Raw genomic sequence first — 18,925 nt, forward strand, 5'->3', positions numbered from 1 at the left:
ACCTTTGTTCTGAATGCTTTGTGACCATTGGTGCCTTTGATTATAGATTGCACCACCATTTGATTTATTTTTTTCTCATGGGCAACATATTTCTTTCATTGAGCAACATTCTGAAACTTGGAAATCTAACCTGTGTTTTAGTCTTAGGAAAGGAACATTCATATGGTAAATCCTCCCCAGTTGGACTTGGTATTCATTCAACTCTTATATGGTTGATTTCAGGCCAGCTTTAATTATGCAATCACCCTCAACTCAAAGAGGATAGTAGAATACAAAAGCACTTTCTAATGCTTGTATTTAATAGAGTGCCAGTTTTCTGGAAGAAGCAAAAAATTGAGAAATGTTAATATTTAACAATGAAGTAATAATCTCTAAATGCAAGTCTAGAGGACGACAAGAGCAATTTATTGTATAAATTACAGATCATTTAGGACTGAAATCCAGGTACACTCCCTTATGTGTCTCTGCCAGTATTAAGAAATATGTATATATGTGCATGTGTACATATTTTTTAATTCTTCTTTTTATCAAGAAGAAAAAAAAATCAGTCACTTGACCTGTTTTACGAATTATAAAAAAAATTAAATGTACCAGTATCACCTCTGAATTCATTGCTTTTTTTTTTTCATCCAGAAAATGTGGTTGCTTTAAACACAGTTTCCAGGGAAGTATTTTTTACACATTCTGAATTACTTGTTCAGTCATTTTCTTATATTACATTACTCACATCCCCTTGCTGGAGGAAATTCCCTCTTACAAATGCTGTATCACTGGGATCTATGTATATTTATGTAACCCCGGTGATTCTGTTTCTTCTTAGACAAACTCAGTGGCACTATTTCCTAAACAGAACTCCGTTGTCTCCATTAATATTAATTTCGCACTCAAGAAAAGCAAAATGCACTCAGATCTCCCAGGTCTTTTCTTCAGAATCTTTATAGCTAACATGCTCTGCCCTGATTTAGGGGTTTACTAGAGAGTCCTTAAACTTCCTAGAAAGCTCATCATTGTAACGCTTTGGTTGAATGCTTGCAGGACAACTGTTCCCTTCCATATTGGCATGTATTTTCTCTCTATTAATGATCCAGAACAAGGATAAATCAAAGATCCTTAGCTCTAGCTAAAAGAAATGTATTCTCCAAATAATAAACAAGCAGGAAAGTTGTTCACTCCAGAGAGCTGAGACCCCCACAATTGTCTGGCTCATTTGAATGACCCAGAAAAGTTATACAGACTTCTTGTCTTACATGAGCCTAAAAGGCCTCCTGGGAACAGCTATGGGCTCAACTGGAATGGCATGCTTGCCATAATAGAGTAGTACAGCCCTGAAACTTGCCCTTTAGATGACAATATTGTGATAACTCCCATGTTACATGCCTATAACCAGAAGCCTGGAGGCCTTGGATTATAATACATGGATCTCATGGTGACATGAACCCTACCTCTGTTTAATGCTAAATGTGGAGGATATTGAGAGAAGGCTGAAGGGTAAATAATGGACCCTAGTAGCTAGGTCCACATTCTCTATGTTACTAGACTCTGAGACAGAAAGTAAGTAAATGTTTGTATATACCTGAGCATTGCTTTGGCCTTTAAATAAATTGGAAGGGTAGTAAACCCTTAAGTAATGCTTGTTGGAAAACACTGAGGCCTGTATCCAGATTAAATAACATGACTGCTGAATTTCCTTGCCCTTTGCTGCAACCTTGGATATAGATTCTTGCCCTAACCACTTCTTGTAAGATTTTTCTGAATGGTTCACTTAATTTGTATGTGAGCTAAACAGGACATTTGGTGGGGAAAAAAAAACTTTACGAGTGTCCCTCTCCTAATTACTGTCTAAATGTTACCTCATTCATGCTTTGACATAAGTTTTTGTGGGCATACAAGTACAACATTTTCCTAAATATTTAAGTGAGAAGGGCTCATGCTGTTACTCTTCACCAAGCATTTTCTTAGAAATGCTTTCTTTAAAGGTATTGAGTTGATTCTTCAGTTTTCTCTAAATTTGATCTCACTGCTGAAAAAATCCCTCTGAATCCCTTTTCATTACTCACACATAGTTGATCATGTTAAGAGGCTTAGAACTATTTGGCAAATGTTCCATGTCTTATGATTTCATGCAAAGCAGCAGAAAAGCAATTATTGGGGTATTTCTTTTAAAAAATAGAAAGTTCTCATCTGATTTGAGGATTGGGTGGAGCCCAGGGTGTGTCTTTTCTATCTCTTCTGGTTTCTGGTAGAGTCAATTTTTTTCAGAGGAAGTCTATTTATTAGCTATAGAAAAGGATAAAAGTACTGAGGAGATTATGAGTGTATTGTGATTTTCTTTCCTGGGTGATCATAAATTCATTTTTGTCACATAATATATTGTGGAAATAATAAATTTCCACAACTTATTATTACAGAGGAATAAATCTGGAGGTATTTACAGCCTGTCATATATATATATATATTATATATATATAATATATATATATAATATATATATAATATATATATATCAAAATTGCAACACTATAAAAAATTATAAAATTGAAATTTTTTCTATGCCAAGGATCAAAATTTATTTGGAAGTCATATTTTTATCAGTCTAAAAGGAGACACTATCTTCATTTAATTACTATCATTATGTACTCTTCCTATTCTTTATTGTTTCTCCCTAAGAGGTAGCACAATTATGATTCATCCCACTGTGAGGTTCAGGCCTTAAACAGATATCTGAGATAGTCCCTTAACCTAAAACTGCTTTTTCAGTGCATCCCAGTAAGTGGAACTGGATCACTGATCTCCCCAAATGAAAACTGGTTATTCAAGAGAAATCAGGCTCTCTTTGGCCCTCCATGCTGGCATACTGTAGCCCCTTTCTCTCCCTGGCCCCATCTCTTATGCCCGGCTAGAAACCCTCATGGTTGCCACGGTGGGTCTAAGGGACATCCTGGGCAGTTCATTTATCTCTCAATTACTTATGATAATTAGCAGATCTAAAAGCCCAGATCATTAAATATACAGATAATTCAAACTCTTCATTGCAAGCATAATCTTCAATCTCTGATCTCCATAATTTTATAAAAGAGGCAAACAAATAATACCATTTGAGAGATTTAAATTTCCTGTTTGTCTGTTTCCTTCTTTGTACCTCTGGCAAAAGTCCTAAAGAATCTTGGAATGGTCAAAATGCATAAGCTAGGAATAAAAGAAAAAGAACAGAATCTTAGATAATCCACCAATGGAGTAATTGGTGAATGCTGTAAAAAAAATCTATCACATATTTATAACTCTGTGAGGAGAAATTTTTCCTACACTTTGAGTGCTTTCTTACGCATTTAAACAAAATCAATCATCTCATTTAGTTAAAAACAGTGACATTCCAATAAAAAAATTCTTTTCCAAACACATACGAAACACACAGATACACTCTCACATATACGGTTCTCCAGCACTTTTGTGCATAACATCTATTAGCACAGTTCCACAGTTACAGCTACCACTGTATATGACCCTTCATTCATGAAAGCTCCTGGTGCTTAGCCTTAAGCTATTGGGCTCCTGTCATTTCCCACTGAGCACACTGGGGTGGATTTGGGTGTCTTGCCCTCATTTACAATCTGAACAAAAGAAACCTAAGCCAAGAAAGCAGCTGGCACCATAAAAACAGTAAAAACTCTAGCTGGCATCTCTGGTTGCCACTGACTAGCCAAATATCCACAGGGAATGGTGCCAATATAGATTTCTGGGACAAAACAACAAAATAGATTTTTGTCAATAAACATTGATTTCACAAGAAGTCAGACAAATCCATCCATACCAAATGACACATACATCCACAGAGTTCCAAACCAATGAGTACCTTTTGGACAAATTGAAAACCTGCCTAAGCTGGATTCATACATGGCACATGCTCTCCAAGGTCTTCATCTGCCAAGTATGGTTACATGTTAGGTGTCAATGTTGCAGTCTGATTCTGCTATCAGCTGACAACATAAACCGTGGACACTGACAAAGAAAACACATACCATCACTCCAGGGGTGATATTTTTTAAACTTTTTTGACTGCAATGGATTGAAAGAACTATGTTTTGTGGTGCAGCCTAGTACATACGCAGACATGCAAAGAACAAATAAAATAAAATGTCATGGATCAATACTTATCCCTGCTATGTGTGATGCACCCAGTTTTATTCTTCCTTTTCTATTTCATTTTTACATTCTATGTTATATTTTTAACATTGTTTAGCTATTGTAACAACCCCTGAAATTTCTTACAATTCATTAATGAGTCATGACAATGAGTTTAAATATATGGCTCAGAGTGATATAAACATCCTAATCTTTCAAACTTTGCTTACATTTCTTAATAATTTTTTGGGGGGCAGGCAGATGGCTTTCTTTTTTTCATAGTTACCTACAGACACATCACAATGACTCTAATAATCCCCATCAGGAATGTGGCTCAAAAAAATAAATTCCATTAAATTTGACATATATTGATTGAGTACTTATTATGCATAGGACTCAGGATGAGTTTCCAAGGGTTGTAAAGATCAACCCAAAATTATAGGTAACAACATCCATTACATCTAAATTACTTATATTTATATTTAGGGAATTAAAATACACTAAGTAACATTTTTAGAGTTGATTGTTCATCTAGAGTTGACCTACTTAAGGAATTCTTTAAAAGATATTGATGAGCAAAGTATAAACCCAGCACTGTCAGGTCAAATATTGTTTTTTTTTCTCTTTAGGATGAAAATTCAACTGAAGTATCCTCTAAACTTAGGGATATAAGCAGCAGTTGGGCTAGATGATCAGTTTTGCAAATAACAAAATACAAGAAGATCATTGGGAACAACCAGTCTCTTTTTCTCAGTTTATGTATTTATTGTAGAAAAGTCTCACTTCCTGGTTCCCAAAATGGACATTTGAGCCTAGCCCAGGCAATTAGGATATGCCAATGACCTGGCCACTCTAATGAGCTCAGTATTGGGCACATGACACAAACCAGCCAGTGAGAGTCACTCTTGAGAGTCTAACCTAAACTATCTGGAAAAAGCCACACTTTTAAAACTTATTTGTTTGTTTTGTTACCTGTGTTACAATATAAGCCTTAAACAAAAAGTGACCTTGGTCTCTTTTCTTGTGGTAGACTACAGTGGGGGTTCAAGACAGCAAGAATATTTGAGTCAAAGAAAAAGTGTAAAAACGTACATGTCATGCCCCTTTTGGAGAACACACACCCCTGACTTTTGTTGCCCTCCATCAGGATGTTCACCTAAGAAAGGGAAATATCTTTTGTAGGGTAGAATGGCTGTAAGTTAATAGACTTCTCCCAGTTGCGTTTGTATTTTAAGTCTCACCTCTGATAGTTGAAAGTGCTGCTCCTATTAAACAGCTTTAGGTGTGAGAAAGTGGTCAAAGAAAGGGTTAAGAGTGCACTCCAAATTTGGGAAGACCAATGAAGGTGTCCTTGAGTCCGTGAAATCATCTCAAGTTCGACATCATTTCTGTAGGTAACCTGGAAATCCAAATTTAAGAGATTTGAACAAGAGCAAGACTCTCCTGTATCTACTTCAACCTCTTGCAGACATTGATTCCAGCTTAGCTATGCAGGGCAGGTCTTACTGGAGGAGAAAGATATTTTGCTTTGTTTTATTTTGGCATGTGATTCATTTGTGCCAGTATATTCAGGATTCCGGTATGTTCTAAATCAGACTCTGTAATCTTGATGTCCCAGAAGAAGTTTCTTTTATGTGGCTGTCTAGGAAACAATTAGCTTTCAATCACATGTTTCAAAAATGTGTGCAGCATGCTGTACAGGTTGTGGGAAGATTATAAACTAGAAGACAGTACCATGCTGTTTTGGTTACTGTAGCCTTGTAGAATACTTTGAAGTCAGGTAGCATGATGCCTCCAGTTTTGTTCTTTTTGCTTAGGATTGTCTTGGTTATATTGGCTCTTTTTGGTTCCACATGAAATTTAGAGTATTTTTTTCTAATTCTGTGAAGAAAGTCAATGGTAGCTTGATGGGCATAGCATTGAATCTGTAAATGACTTTGGGCAGTATGGCCATTTAAACAATATTGATTCTTGCTATTCTCTTTGTAGCAATTGTGGATGGGAGTTTACTCAAGATTTGACTCTCTGTTTGTCTATTATCGGTGCATAGGAATGCTTGTGATTTTTGTACATTGATTTTGTATCCTGAGACTTTGCTGAAGTTGCTTATCAACTTAAGGAGGTTTTGGGCTGAGATGATGGGGTTTTCTAAATATACAATCACGTCATCTGCAAACAGAGACAATTTGACTTCCTCTCTCCCTATTTGAATACCCTTTATTTCCTTCTCTTGCCTGATTGCCCTGGCCAGAACTTCCAATATTATGTTGATTAAGAGTGGTGAGAGAGGGCATCCTTGTCCTGTGCCAGTTTTCAAAGGGAGTGCTTCCAGTTTTTGCCCATTCTGTATGATATTGGCTGTGGGTTTGTCAAAAATAGCTCTTATTATTTTGAGATATGTTCCATCAATACCTAGTTTATTGAGAGTTTTTAACATGAAGCGGTTTTGAATTTCATTGAAGGCCTTTTCTGCATCTATTGAGATAATCATGTGGTTTTTACCATTGGTTCTGTTTATGTGATGGATTATGTTTCTTGATTTGCATATGTTGAACCAGCCTTGCATCCCAGGGATGAAGCTGACTTGATAGAGGAGGATCAACTTTTTGATGTTCTGCTGGATTTGGTTTGCCAGTATTTTATTGAGGATTTTCACATCGATGTTCATCAGGGACATTGGCCTGAAATTTTCTTTTTGTGTGTGTGTGTTTCTCTGCCAGGTTTTGGCATCAGGATGATGCTGGCCTCATAAAATGAGTTAGGGAGGAATCCCTCTTTTTCTATTGTTTGGAATAGTTTCAGAAGGAATGGTATCAGCTCCTCTTTGTACCTCTGGTAGAATTCGGCTGTGAATCCATCTGGTCCTGGACTTTTTTTGGTTGGTAAGCTATTAATTATTGCCTCAATTTCAGAGCCTGTTATTGGTCTATTCAGAGATTCAACTTCTTCCTGCTTTAGTCTTGGGAGGGTGTATGTGTCTCGGAATTTATTCCCTTCTTCTAGATTTTCTAGTTTATTCGCATAGAGGTGTTTATAGTATTCTCTGATGGTAGTTTGTACTTCTGTGGGATCAGTGGTGATATCCCCTTTATCATTTTTTATTGCATCTATTTGATTCTTCTCTCTTTTCTTCTTTATTAGTCTTGCTAGCGGTCTATCAATTTTGTTGATCCTTTCAAAAAACCAGCTTCTGGATTCATTGATTTTTTGAAGGGTTTTTTGTGTCTCTATCTCCTTCAGTTCTGCTCTGATATTAGTGATTTCTTGCCTTCTGCTAGCTTTTGAATGTGTTTGCTCTCGCCTCTGAAGCAATAACGATCATGAGGAGGCTTTCCATATTTGTGCATAAAAGCATCTTTTTAGACAGATGTTGGATCCCTTACAGTTATTTGTATTTCATATTATATTGGAATTACTCATTCTTTTCTATATATGTTTATTGGTATGTATATGTATATATAGATGTGCTATATATGTATACACGTGTGTGTGTGTGTGTGTATTTGAGCTCAAGGTGACATTTCAGGAAGATTAAAAGAAACTGAAACAAAACACTTATTATTAAAATGTCTGAACTTTGGACCCAGAATAAATTAAATATTGGAGTCTCCTATGTATCTGTCTGTCTATCTATCCATCTAATTGCTAGTTGTACTGGAGAGTAAATAAATCAAGAAATTTTATAGAATATTTTGTAACTGCATATCACCAGCATAATAGGCCCCATTCATAAATGGAATTTGTGGAGTTGGACTAAACATCTGTTCATTCCTTGTCACATTCGTTTCACTACTTGTGGGTGCTACAAAGGTGAGTTATAATGGAATGAGGAAGACCTGAAGGGTATGAGAAAATAAAGCATAATTAAATAAATTATAAAAATGAACAAAGTAGAGGGGTGGGCACCCCATTTTCACAATACTGTGTAAGTTGAACTTTTTGAGGAGGAGAGCATTTTGAGGAGAAGAAGAGCAAGAGGTCATCATGAAGATCTTTATACCCAAATAGTTTTCTCTTTAGTTTACAATTTCTGTGTGGAAAAGGGAAGCACCATCATCTGTCTGAGGACGTTGCATGGAAGTAGAATGTCTAGAAACATTAAAGGCTTTCACCTCTTTTTTTTCCAAGTAATTTTTTCTCTAAATGTTAAAAGACAAATCTCCATACTAATACATGCAAACAGGCAATTGGAAGTTATTTCTTTCTCTGATTTTCTTTTTTTAAGTCCATTTTGACCACCTTTAAGCTGAAAAATGAAAAAGAAGCAGGTAATAGTTTAATTTATTATTAGAAGAAATTGCTCTCTGGTCTTTCAGGTTTACTTCTATGTAAGTTGTAAGTAGAAAACCATCTAACATATATTTTACTTGGTAAGCTATTCTAAATGATCAGCAAATACCTTCTCATCATCTAAAAGAAGCCATTTAAAACATTCTTATTCTGATAAAAGAAAATTATAACCTATGAGACCATAGAAACTAAAGTGGTGCTTAAGTTGCAATAGACACGTATAATAAAGAAAGACATGTTTAATTAGCACATGTTTCTTTGATTTTCCTCTTTTGATTATTAATAGATACAGATTCTGTTTCTGTACATTGCTATAAACCCAAGTCCTAGTCAACTAATAAAAGAAAAAGGTAGACTATAAACTGTATGAAAGATTTGAATTCAAATACTTTTTGATATCTTTTGATTTGAATCATTAATGTGCATAAATCAAACGCTTACTCAGAACTTAGAAGAGGGTTTGTTCTGTTGTTTTTGTTAAAGAAACATAATGTTATCTATATATTTTTTTAGCTTATTTATTTATTTCTATTAAATAAAAATATTTACTGTGTTTCTCATATGCCAACCACTATTTTAACTGCTGGGGACATAAACAAAACAGATAGTTATTGACATCATGAATTTAACTTCTGGAATGGCTAGATAGGCAATAAACAACAACAAATCATAAATATATACTTGGTTGGTTGGGTGGATTTTAATAAATCCAATGGGAAAAACTAAAGTGAAATAAGAAAAGGAAGTTCCAGGTTCAGGGTCAGGTAGTCATTGGGCCACTTTATAAGGATCATCAAGCAGGACCTCATTGAGGTGACATTTAAACAGAGAACTGTAGAAAACAAGGGAGGGAACCAGATAGATATCTGGGGGCAAAATGGCAGGAGAAAGAACAATAAGTAAAAGGGCATTGAAGTGGAGATTTCTGGGAAGATCAAGGAACAGGAAAGAGACAAGTGTTTCTGGAGCAGGCTCAGAGTCCACATAGCAAGTGAAATCAGAATTATAATAGTATAAAACCACATAGGACATTGTAAGGGTGTTGGATTTTACACTGATTGAGAAGTACACTACTGAAAAGTTTTAAAACAATAAGTAACATTATCTGATTAATTTTCATCCTACTTTCAAACTAGGCTATAGGGAACAATGGTTGCAATAAGCTCAATTTAGAAGACCTTCGCAAATATGTAGGCAAAGAATAATGATGGGTTAGACCAAGGTGGTATAGTAATGGACATAATGAGAAATGGTTGGCCTTTGACTATTTAAAGTTAAAGAGAATAGGATTTGCTGCTGGATGAGTGTTGAATGTGAGAGAAAGAAAGGGTTAGGAAAACATGCATATATTTTAGCCTAAGCAACTGAAAAATAAAAATGAATTGCCCTTTGCTAAGTTGAGAACCACTATAGAGAGAGCAACTTTGAGATAGGTGAACAGGGATAAGAAGTCTGACTTTATTTATGTTAGATTTGAGATGCCTTATCAAAACTCATATGAGCATGTTAGGCAGAGAGTTGAATATATAAGACTGAAGTTCAGAACAGCTATTACTAGTGGAGTTTTCAGCTCCTTATGAAGTATTTAAAGCCATAGGATTAGATAAAATCACGTGTAAAAAGTGGGTAGATAAAAGCAAAAAAAAAAAAAAAAAGAGAAGAGTCTAAGGTTTGAGTCTTGGAGACTTTGTTGAGTTTGAGTAGATGAGAAAGAATTAGCAAAGGAGACTGAGAAGATGTAAATGTCAGACAAGATGACCTCAAGAAGACATAATGTCCTGGAAGCCGTGTGTGGAGGGTATTGTTAAATTGAGGCAATAATTGGCCATGTGTCAAAATACTGCTGATAGTTCTGTTCAAGTTAGGAACAGAGAACTAATCATTGGATTTAGTAATATGGAAAGTCAAAGTAAACTACTTAGAAGTTTGTTTACAGGAAGAGTATCTAAAATGCATTTATTCCATATAATATAAATATGGAAGAAATATAAATACATAGATTATGTATATAATTTATACATTTCCTAATAAATTCTGAGCACTTAGATCAGTGTCTGGCACATAGGAGATGTTCAATAAACATTTGGCTTTTTAAATTTTAATGTATCAGATCAGGAAGAATTGGTAAAAGAAAATAAAGGTGGGGAAAAGAATAAAATTATCTTCACTGTGTTTTTATATAAAGCCAGTATTGGCTTTAAATAAATGGGTGTACTTTACAGTATACATATATACTCTGCTTTTTCATTTTTATAGAAATAATAATTGATTTTCCAGAAAAAGAAAAATATGTTCTATGGGAAGTCATAGAATCCTAGAAACTAACATTACTATGCAAAATTCTTGAGTGACTGTTTTTTAGATATATGACAATGTCAATGCTTTGATCATTTGTCATTAAATGATAAAAATGGATTCCTTCAATAAAAAGTTTGAAACTAATATTTGTAGTTATGGTTGCACAGGTAATTTATTTATTCAAAGTCTTCACTTTGCAATGTTAAAAAAGAAAGAAGGCTAAAAAGAGGAAAATGCCTGTTATCTTACTCAAATTCTGTAAAAACGAAGAATATCCAGAAATTATTACTTAAATACTATGAACTCTTGGTGTAAAGCACACATATGCTTAGAGGAAGATTAAATTAGAAAGCTTGTAGTTTTAAAAACCAGACTTGGTCATTCTGTCTTTCATTTATTTAATAATCATTGAGCACCTAGGATGTGAAAAGTATAATTCAGGATATCAAAGGCAAAGTCTCAGTAGCAAAGTCTACAAGTTGCCTGTATCATCTGCTGTTCTTCCTTGCTACAAAAACCTTTAATTTCTTAAGGGGGAAAATATGTCCAGTCCGCAATACTCACCATTCCAAACTCTCTTGCAATAAAGGTGAGGTATGCCATGTAATTCTCACGGTAATGTAAGTGGAGGTAAGATGTAAGTGAAGTTTTCTAGGTATTTTAGAGAAATCTGTTGCCAAGCCCAAAACCTTCTTCCTTTTCTTCCTTTCTTTCTTTCTTCTTCCTTTTCTTCCTTTCTTTCTTTCTTTTTTTTTTTTTTTTTAAGTCAGGTCTGTCAATGTGATACCTGGAGGTGGATGGGAGATCTGGAGGGGAAGAAGTGGCTGGCTGAGCAATCAGGTTGAGGCTGGGGACCTACACACAGGGGGAGTGGGTCAATTCCCTGTTGGGGTTGGGATGTAGTACTCCCCCTGGACTCCCTACTCCTGGAATTCTGGTTTCCTGAGAAAAATAAACCCTTTACCTGTATCAGTTTTCATTTACTAGATTTAATGATTTAAGCATATTCTGTCCCAAGCACTGTCACAATGTAGTGGGGGAAAATGCAGGTGAATATGTAATTATGCTTCAAGGTTATAATATGAATAAAAGAAGTCAGCACAAACATGAAATAGCACAGAAGGAGTGAACAACTGTGCCTGGTGGGCATGAAAAAACATGTAACTTAATTGTCATTTAAACAAAGCCTTACAGCATGAGTATCATTAACCTGAAAAAGGCAGGAAAGGGCATTCTTGGCACGGAAAACAGCAAAACACAAAAGGATGGAGTTTTAAAACAAAAAGGTGTGTTGCATACTTTATTCTGGCGTGTCTGTGGTAAAAGTTGGTTATTATTAAGAATTCAGGCAAGAAGGGAGGCAAATGCAGGAAGATGAGGGGTCTTAGTTGGCCTATGTTATGGTGGTTGGGCTTTGGAGGAAGTGGGAAATCATGAGAAGATTGTAAGCAGGGACTGACATTATCAATTTGTGTTTTAGATAGAGCTGGCAGCAATGTGGAGTATGAAACATAAGTGCCATCTCCCTTTCTTCCACACCAACCAAAAAGATATTGAATAAAATCCAAATATGCGGAAATGAAGGGATAAATACTGTCGTCAAGTATATGAAACATTTATGAGAAGGATGCTCAGCAGTTGTTCTGAGTGTCTGTGACAGACCAAACACAAAGGAATACACTCGAATAAAAGCAGTAGAGAGTTGAGTTGGACCTTTAGCAAAAACATCTCAATTGAGGGCTGCCCTGGAAAGGGATACTACCAGAATGGGCTGATATGGGCAACTGGAAAGTTTCCCTCCTTATAAAGCTGAGAGAAATAAAAAGAGCTATCAACTCTGAAGGATTTTTAGATATTCACTTCCCTGAGAGTAAGGAGCATGGTAAACTATGCTTTGGATGCACTTCAGCTTAATTGTGTTATGGTCCCTAAAGTCTCGACGTGAAATATCCCATCTACCACCACCCCCAACAAAAACCCTCAGCTACTTAGAATTTAGGGAAATAAAATGCTGATTGGTTGCATTCATGACTACTTACGAATATCACTAAATGTTTATTTATACTAAGAGAAATCAACATTTATCAACAAAAATATATCCCAAATTACTATGGGAACTATTGTGAGGAATAAGTCCCACAATAGTTCCCATAGTAATTTGGGATACGTATTTTTTCTTCCTGCATTATGCCTTTCTATTATACTTGCTAAAAGAGTTCTATGCTCTAATAGATTTGGTAAATAGGGTGACAAAAAGTTAAACAAATTTGTTCATTGCAAAACACCTAAAAGTCTTCAATGTTCATTATGAATGTGTAATAATTGTATCCAATATTTTATTTAAGCGGATGATAAAATATTCTCTGATCCAAATGTATTTGACCATGGAACTCCATTTTTATAAATGCAGCTATAAGCTATTTAGAAAAATACGCTTTATATAAAATGATATTTACAGATCTGAAAAATACTTGATAATAGGAACTTTAGTTTCTTTAGTTATGAAAAAAGGCACAAAACTAACATATGTTGAGTAATATTCTATACATTTTTCACTTAATTCCCTCTATATTATAGTATATTATCTCATTAAAATAAGGGAGATTATTTTCTCATTATCTTACTTCTAATAAATAACTGTAAATTACTTTGCTGCTGGGGTTATTATGGAATTTATCTTTCAAGCTAAGATCTATTTATGAGCAAAATGGGGTGCTAAAGGTATAAAATTATAATTTTATAAATATTAATTCATTAAAATTAATTTCTATATTTGGTAGACATACGTGGTTCTATTTAAAACTATTAAGGGAATAATATTTTCAAATGGCAAATCAGATAGGATGCTGGGAAAGCAGGTATAAAATGGGATAATCATGGGCGAGATGGAATATCTAGTCAAATTAATTCAAGGCCTTTGACAAATGAGTTCAATCTTCCTATCAACTTTGCCTTTCATTCTTCTATACAACATTCTTCCACATCAGTTAAACTGGATTCCTTGGGCTCCCCAATGGAGATCATTGGTCTTCTCACTTTCATTAATGTCTTTCTCTCTGCCTGATTTTTTTTAACAAAACAAAACTCTAATTCTTTCATGCACAATGCAAATGCTACCTTCTTGACATCTTTCCTTTACCCATAGCCCCTACTAGTAATTGAGATCTCTTCTAAAATTTGCTGCTATTACTTTTAGCACCTAACAGCACTCATCCCATTGGCGTTCTACTGCAGGTATTAATAGAATTATTTTAAGTTCTATGTTAAATCAAGGACTGCTTGAGAATAAAAACGTTTATGCATTTGGTATATCAAGGTATTTTGTATCACATATGTTCTTTTGTATTCTAGGTGCTAGATAAATATTTGATTTTGAAAGTTTATGGATGAATGAATGAATGAATTCTGGAGTTCAAATGAATATTAGAACTAGATTTTGCCTTATTATTGATTTTTACTATTTACATTCTTTAGGTGTTAGCTCATAGCTGAGGTAAAGAATGGACAAGTTAAGAAACAGTTAAAAAAAAGATGAACTGAATAAGAGATATATGTTATAGACCATTGTCATATTTATGTAAGTCCAAACATTCATGACAAAATTAAAAAATAAAAATCCACTCTCTGGACATTGACTTTACGTAAAATGCCTATCATAAGAGATCTATTTCTTCTCATTTTTTGGTTTGCTTGTTTACTTTTGTATTATTGCTGTTAAATTGACTCAATCTAGAGTTTAAAACCCAGCAGCATTCATAAGATCTACAGTTTGTAGATACAACCTGGTGGTTTTGCATCTACATATTCTCTAAACACATACTTCTTCAGTGATCACTATGTCTACATGGATCTTTCAAACCAGTCATGGAGACAGACATTAACCAAATGATCACAGTAATACATGTAAAAGAGCTACTATGTTTAAAATAAAAATGTAGTAAAGTGAGAGCATATCAGAACACATTTAACCTAGTGAGAGAGGACAAGTCAAATTTTCCTCAAGCAATTATAAACATTTAAGATCTGAAGAAATAGCAAGCATTAACAAGCAGAGATTTAAGAAAGAGTATCCTGTCTGGGGAAACAGCATGTGCTCTATGATGATTAGGAGTGTTCAGAGTTTAAAAAACTGACAAAAGCGAAATAAGGATGGGACGTTAGAAGAGCCTTCAGGGCCATAGTACTTCTTTGGGCCTCTCAAAGCGGTGAAGTCAACCATTCAAGTCAAGAATATAAAAGGGTCAAGCTTAGGGTAGTGTTTCTATAACATCACACTTTCTGAAGAGTGAAGTCATGTGTCATCCTTCAGTCCAAAATGGTGCCTTGCACTTAATAAGAACTATTTTTACACATGAAAATGAGGAGATAAATTTATGAAGTTTATTATATGAAATGTACAAATGAGTTGACATTTTTCCCCCTTTTCTCTCCATGGCAAACCCAATGGATTTCAGGAGCATAAAGAAAACACCTGCCATTTGTAATTTTCTTAAATGCTGAAATGTTGTAGGTTAGAAAGTACATAATGAGCATTTTTGGAGTTGACTTCTATTGAATAGATGATATTTTTCTGATGAACTCTCAATGTTTCTCCCTTTCACTCACTCCCATTCGCTTTTTCCACTCATAACGACCTCACTAAGGGCATAGCAAATACCCATTTCATTTAGTTTCCTGCCAGAAGCTTTCAGATTAAGTATTAGAAGGCAATCTTACCTTGTATGTGTCTACCATAGGCTGGGCACTGTGCTAGATGCCAGGGATATAGCAGAAAATACAATGATTTCCTCGTTTTCAAAAAGTGGTTTTTAAAGATGACAGAAACTGGCTTTAAACAAGTTAATAACAACAAAGATACTTTCCAACCATAAAAATGCTGTGGAGATAAAAATATAATAAAAACAAGGGTTTACTTCTTTGCGGGGATGACTTCCATAATTACAATGATTAGGGTCAAATAACAAGTGCAGTACTGAAATTTCTTCTTCTTGCCTCTGTTGAAAGAACATAGCTCCAGACTTGCATTTCAATGTTCAGTGTAGGTTTTTAATTATTTTTATTTGGTTTGCGTTTTAGTGCTATCTATTCAAAATATGTAAGAGGCATGAAATCCTCTAACATATAACAAAATAATATTAAAACTTTTTACTAGAAATGTGATATGTTTTCCCAATGAGGAGCACATGTTTCTAAAATGTCAAGTTTAAGTTAGACTATCTAGCTGGCTCGTCAGCCCCTGACAGTGCAGCTTTCAGGGTCACTTGGTCCTCTCATTAGGCTGCAATTTTTGAGGAATTATACTACTGCTGGATGAACTTCACAGTCAGGATGGATTAACTAGATCAGAGAAAGTAAGACTCACTCTAAATGCTAACTGAAATTGAAACTTTTCTCTGCGAGAAAGGAGAGAGTGAAAAAGAATGAGCAGGGGGAAAGAGAAAAAGTGGGAGGAGAAGAGACAGAAGACGAGCAAAAATAATTGAGAAAAGCAAGAGAGAGAAAGGAGAGAAGAAAAGCCAATGAGAGAACAGAGAGCGAGAACAAAGGAGAGAACACAGAGAGACAGCAAATGAAAGAACAAAGAGAGGAGAGAGAGTACACTCTCATTTGAGAGGCAGCTAGCTGTGAGGAGTATGGAAGGTGTGTTGGGCTACTGCCCAGGGAGGACAGGTGCTTCTTCTCAGCATGATTGCCCAAAGGTTTCAGGACCTTACTCCCTCTACTTGTATTATCATGCTTCATGCAAAATGGAGGAAAAACATTCTTTTGTGATTATTTATAACTCAAGTCAGGGACTTTTACCAACAAAGCCATACTTAAGGGCAGGTTAAAGTCACAATGTTCTTTGTAGAGTGCACACTCAATCCGCGCCCTTGAGTGATCGACTAAACTGAAGATAGGGTCTAGAATTTTAACTATAGTCACCTCCACATCTACTGTGTTCATTGACAGTGGCTGGGATTTTACCAAAAATCTCATTTTGATTCTTCTTTCCTCTGGTCAAAAGTGAATAAATAAATAAATGAACAAACAAACAAAATAACAAATGAAACTGCTTTATAATGTGGTTTGACAAACAACAGTATCACCCTTCTCCTCAGGAACATTATTTAGTTCCTCTTCACGAATCAATCTAGAGCCATTTCATCTTTCCATACTAAGCATACCTCTGGGGCTGTGCTGTTTAGAGTGATACAGATGAAGATTATAGGATATGCAAGTTAGTCAACCTTTCTGGAACTCAATTTATTCAGCTATACAATAAGGATAATATAAGTACCTACCTCATAGGACTATTAGAAATATTAAATAAGATGGTCTGTATGAAAATATCATATCACATATATAGTCAATGAATATTAGTCTCTAGGCAGTTCTGGATTGGGCAGGCCATGGGGGTGTAGGAAGAAGTCAATAGAGTAAGAGCAAACATACAGTTGAGTTGGGCAGGTCAGTCTTAAATAGAAAATAAAATGTATATCTTTTGTATGCCAAGTTTGTGGAGTATGTCATTTCATATATGGGCACCCAAGCGAATCAAGAGACTAAAAATATTTATGGATGAAAAGAAGAGACATCCATAATGAAGACTGAGAAGGAGCTGAAAGAAAAGATAGTAGAAACATTAAGAAAGTCAAGAAAAAAAAGCATTGTAAGCGAGATACGTTAATAATGGCCAATGCTATCATATAAGAACTGAATGATGTCCCTTTGGTACACTGACAAGAACAGGATCATAGTAAACTTTGACAGAAGCTGTTGGAGTGGAGTGGTGAGGTGATAGTCTGCATTGCTTTGTTTTTAGAAATGGATAGGAAAAAAATGAATTGAAGATAATGAATAGAGAAAACATTTCAAAAGTTTGGCCATAAAGGAAAGGAGGAAAACAATCCATGTTTGGAGAGAAAGTTGAAGTGATTTGTGGCCTACACAATGCAATGTGTGCTCCAAACCTGTGGTAAGCAGCAAAACAGACCATCAAGGAGGTCCACGCCCTAATCTCCTGGAACCTGTAAATATCTTACCTTACAGGAAGAAAGGGATTTCACAGGTGTGATTAAAGTTACAGGCCTTGAAAGGGGAGATTATCCTGGATTATCCAAGTGGATACATTCTAATTACATGAGTTCTTGAAAGCCGACTTTCCCTAGCTGTGGTCAGCAAGAGAAGGCTCAGAGAGATTCAGTGTCTCACTTTGAAGATGGAGAAAGGGAACCATAAACAAAGGAATACAGGTTGCCTCTAGAGGCTGGAAAAGGAAAGGTCATGGATTCTTACCTAAAGCATCCAGAAAATAACTCAACCCTGCCGACACGCTGATTTTAGACTAGTAAGACTCATGTTGGACGTCTGACTTACAAAGCAGGTATATAATTAAATTTGTGTTGTTTTAAGCCACTAAACCTGTAGTAATGTGTTATGGCAACCAGAGAAAACTAGTCCACAATCTATCTTTGCCTCTTGGCTCACAGCATCTCTTCTAGTTAGGTGGTTCCATGTGATTAAATTCTAGCAAATCCATAAAAAAGTGAGATCAGGGTGGGGCGCGGTGGTTTACGCCTGTAATCCCAGCACCTTGGAGGCCAAGGTGGGCAGATCACCTAAGGTAAGAAGTTTGGGACCAGCCTGACAAATATGGTGAAACCCTGTCTCTACTAAAAAAAAATAAAAATTAGCTGGGCCTTGTGGCGGGTGCCCGTAGTCCCAGCTACTTGGGAGGCTGAGGCAGGAGAATGGCGTGAACCCAGGAGGCGGAGCTTGCAGTGAGCTGAGATCGCGCCACTGCAGTCCAGCCTAGGCGACAGAGCGAGACTCCGTCTCAAAAAAAGGAAAAAGTGAAATCAGTACCTCAGGACTGGTCCCTAAAATATCTCATGAGCTTCTTCACAGTCTTTCTTTTTCCTCGCTTGCTTCCAGTTGCGGAGAATTAAATGGTGTTCTTCCCAGACCTAGGAAGTGACATAATCACAGGATGGAAAGATCTCTGTGTAGAACTTTCTTGAGCTGAACTCTGTCATAATGAAAAATTAAACTTTATTGTATTAAGCACCCATATGGTGAAATTTGGGGGATATTTTTACAATAGGTATTATGCCTCTGAATAATACAATCTTTGTACTTTTAAAATGATTAGTAAGATTTGCTACATTTGAATGCTAATTAAATGAAGCCAGTGAAAAGGGCAACATTCAAAATAAAGACAGGAGTGAGTGAGAAG

General features: G+C 35.6%; 1 long non-coding RNA gene across 3 annotated transcripts in view; it reads right to left on the bottom strand.

Moving 5' to 3' along the window:
* Positions 1 to 3,043: 3,043 nt before the first annotated feature.
* The window catches only part of LOC105373664 (uncharacterized), a 30,933-nt gene continuing 15,051 nt past the window's right edge, over positions 3,044 to 18,925 (bottom strand). Inside the window, exons 3-8 of one of the 3 annotated variants that reach the window (XR_923414.2) lie at positions 18,556 to 18,718; positions 15,424 to 15,583; positions 11,272 to 11,513; positions 8,232 to 8,365; positions 5,361 to 5,518; positions 3,044 to 3,186 (exon numbers count right to left, since the gene is read on the bottom strand). This is a non-coding gene — a long non-coding RNA (uncharacterized LOC105373664). The remainder of the gene's footprint in view (positions 3,187 to 5,360; positions 5,519 to 8,231; positions 8,366 to 11,271; positions 11,514 to 15,423; positions 15,584 to 18,555; positions 18,719 to 18,925) is intronic. The other 2 variants (XR_923415.1, XR_923416.1) reach the window with 2 other exon arrangements.

Source organism: Homo sapiens, chromosome 2 (genome assembly GCF_000001405.40).
Source record: "Homo sapiens chromosome 2, GRCh38.p14 Primary Assembly".
In the NCBI taxonomy this organism is placed as follows: Eukaryota; Metazoa; Chordata; class Mammalia; order Primates; family Hominidae; genus Homo; species Homo sapiens.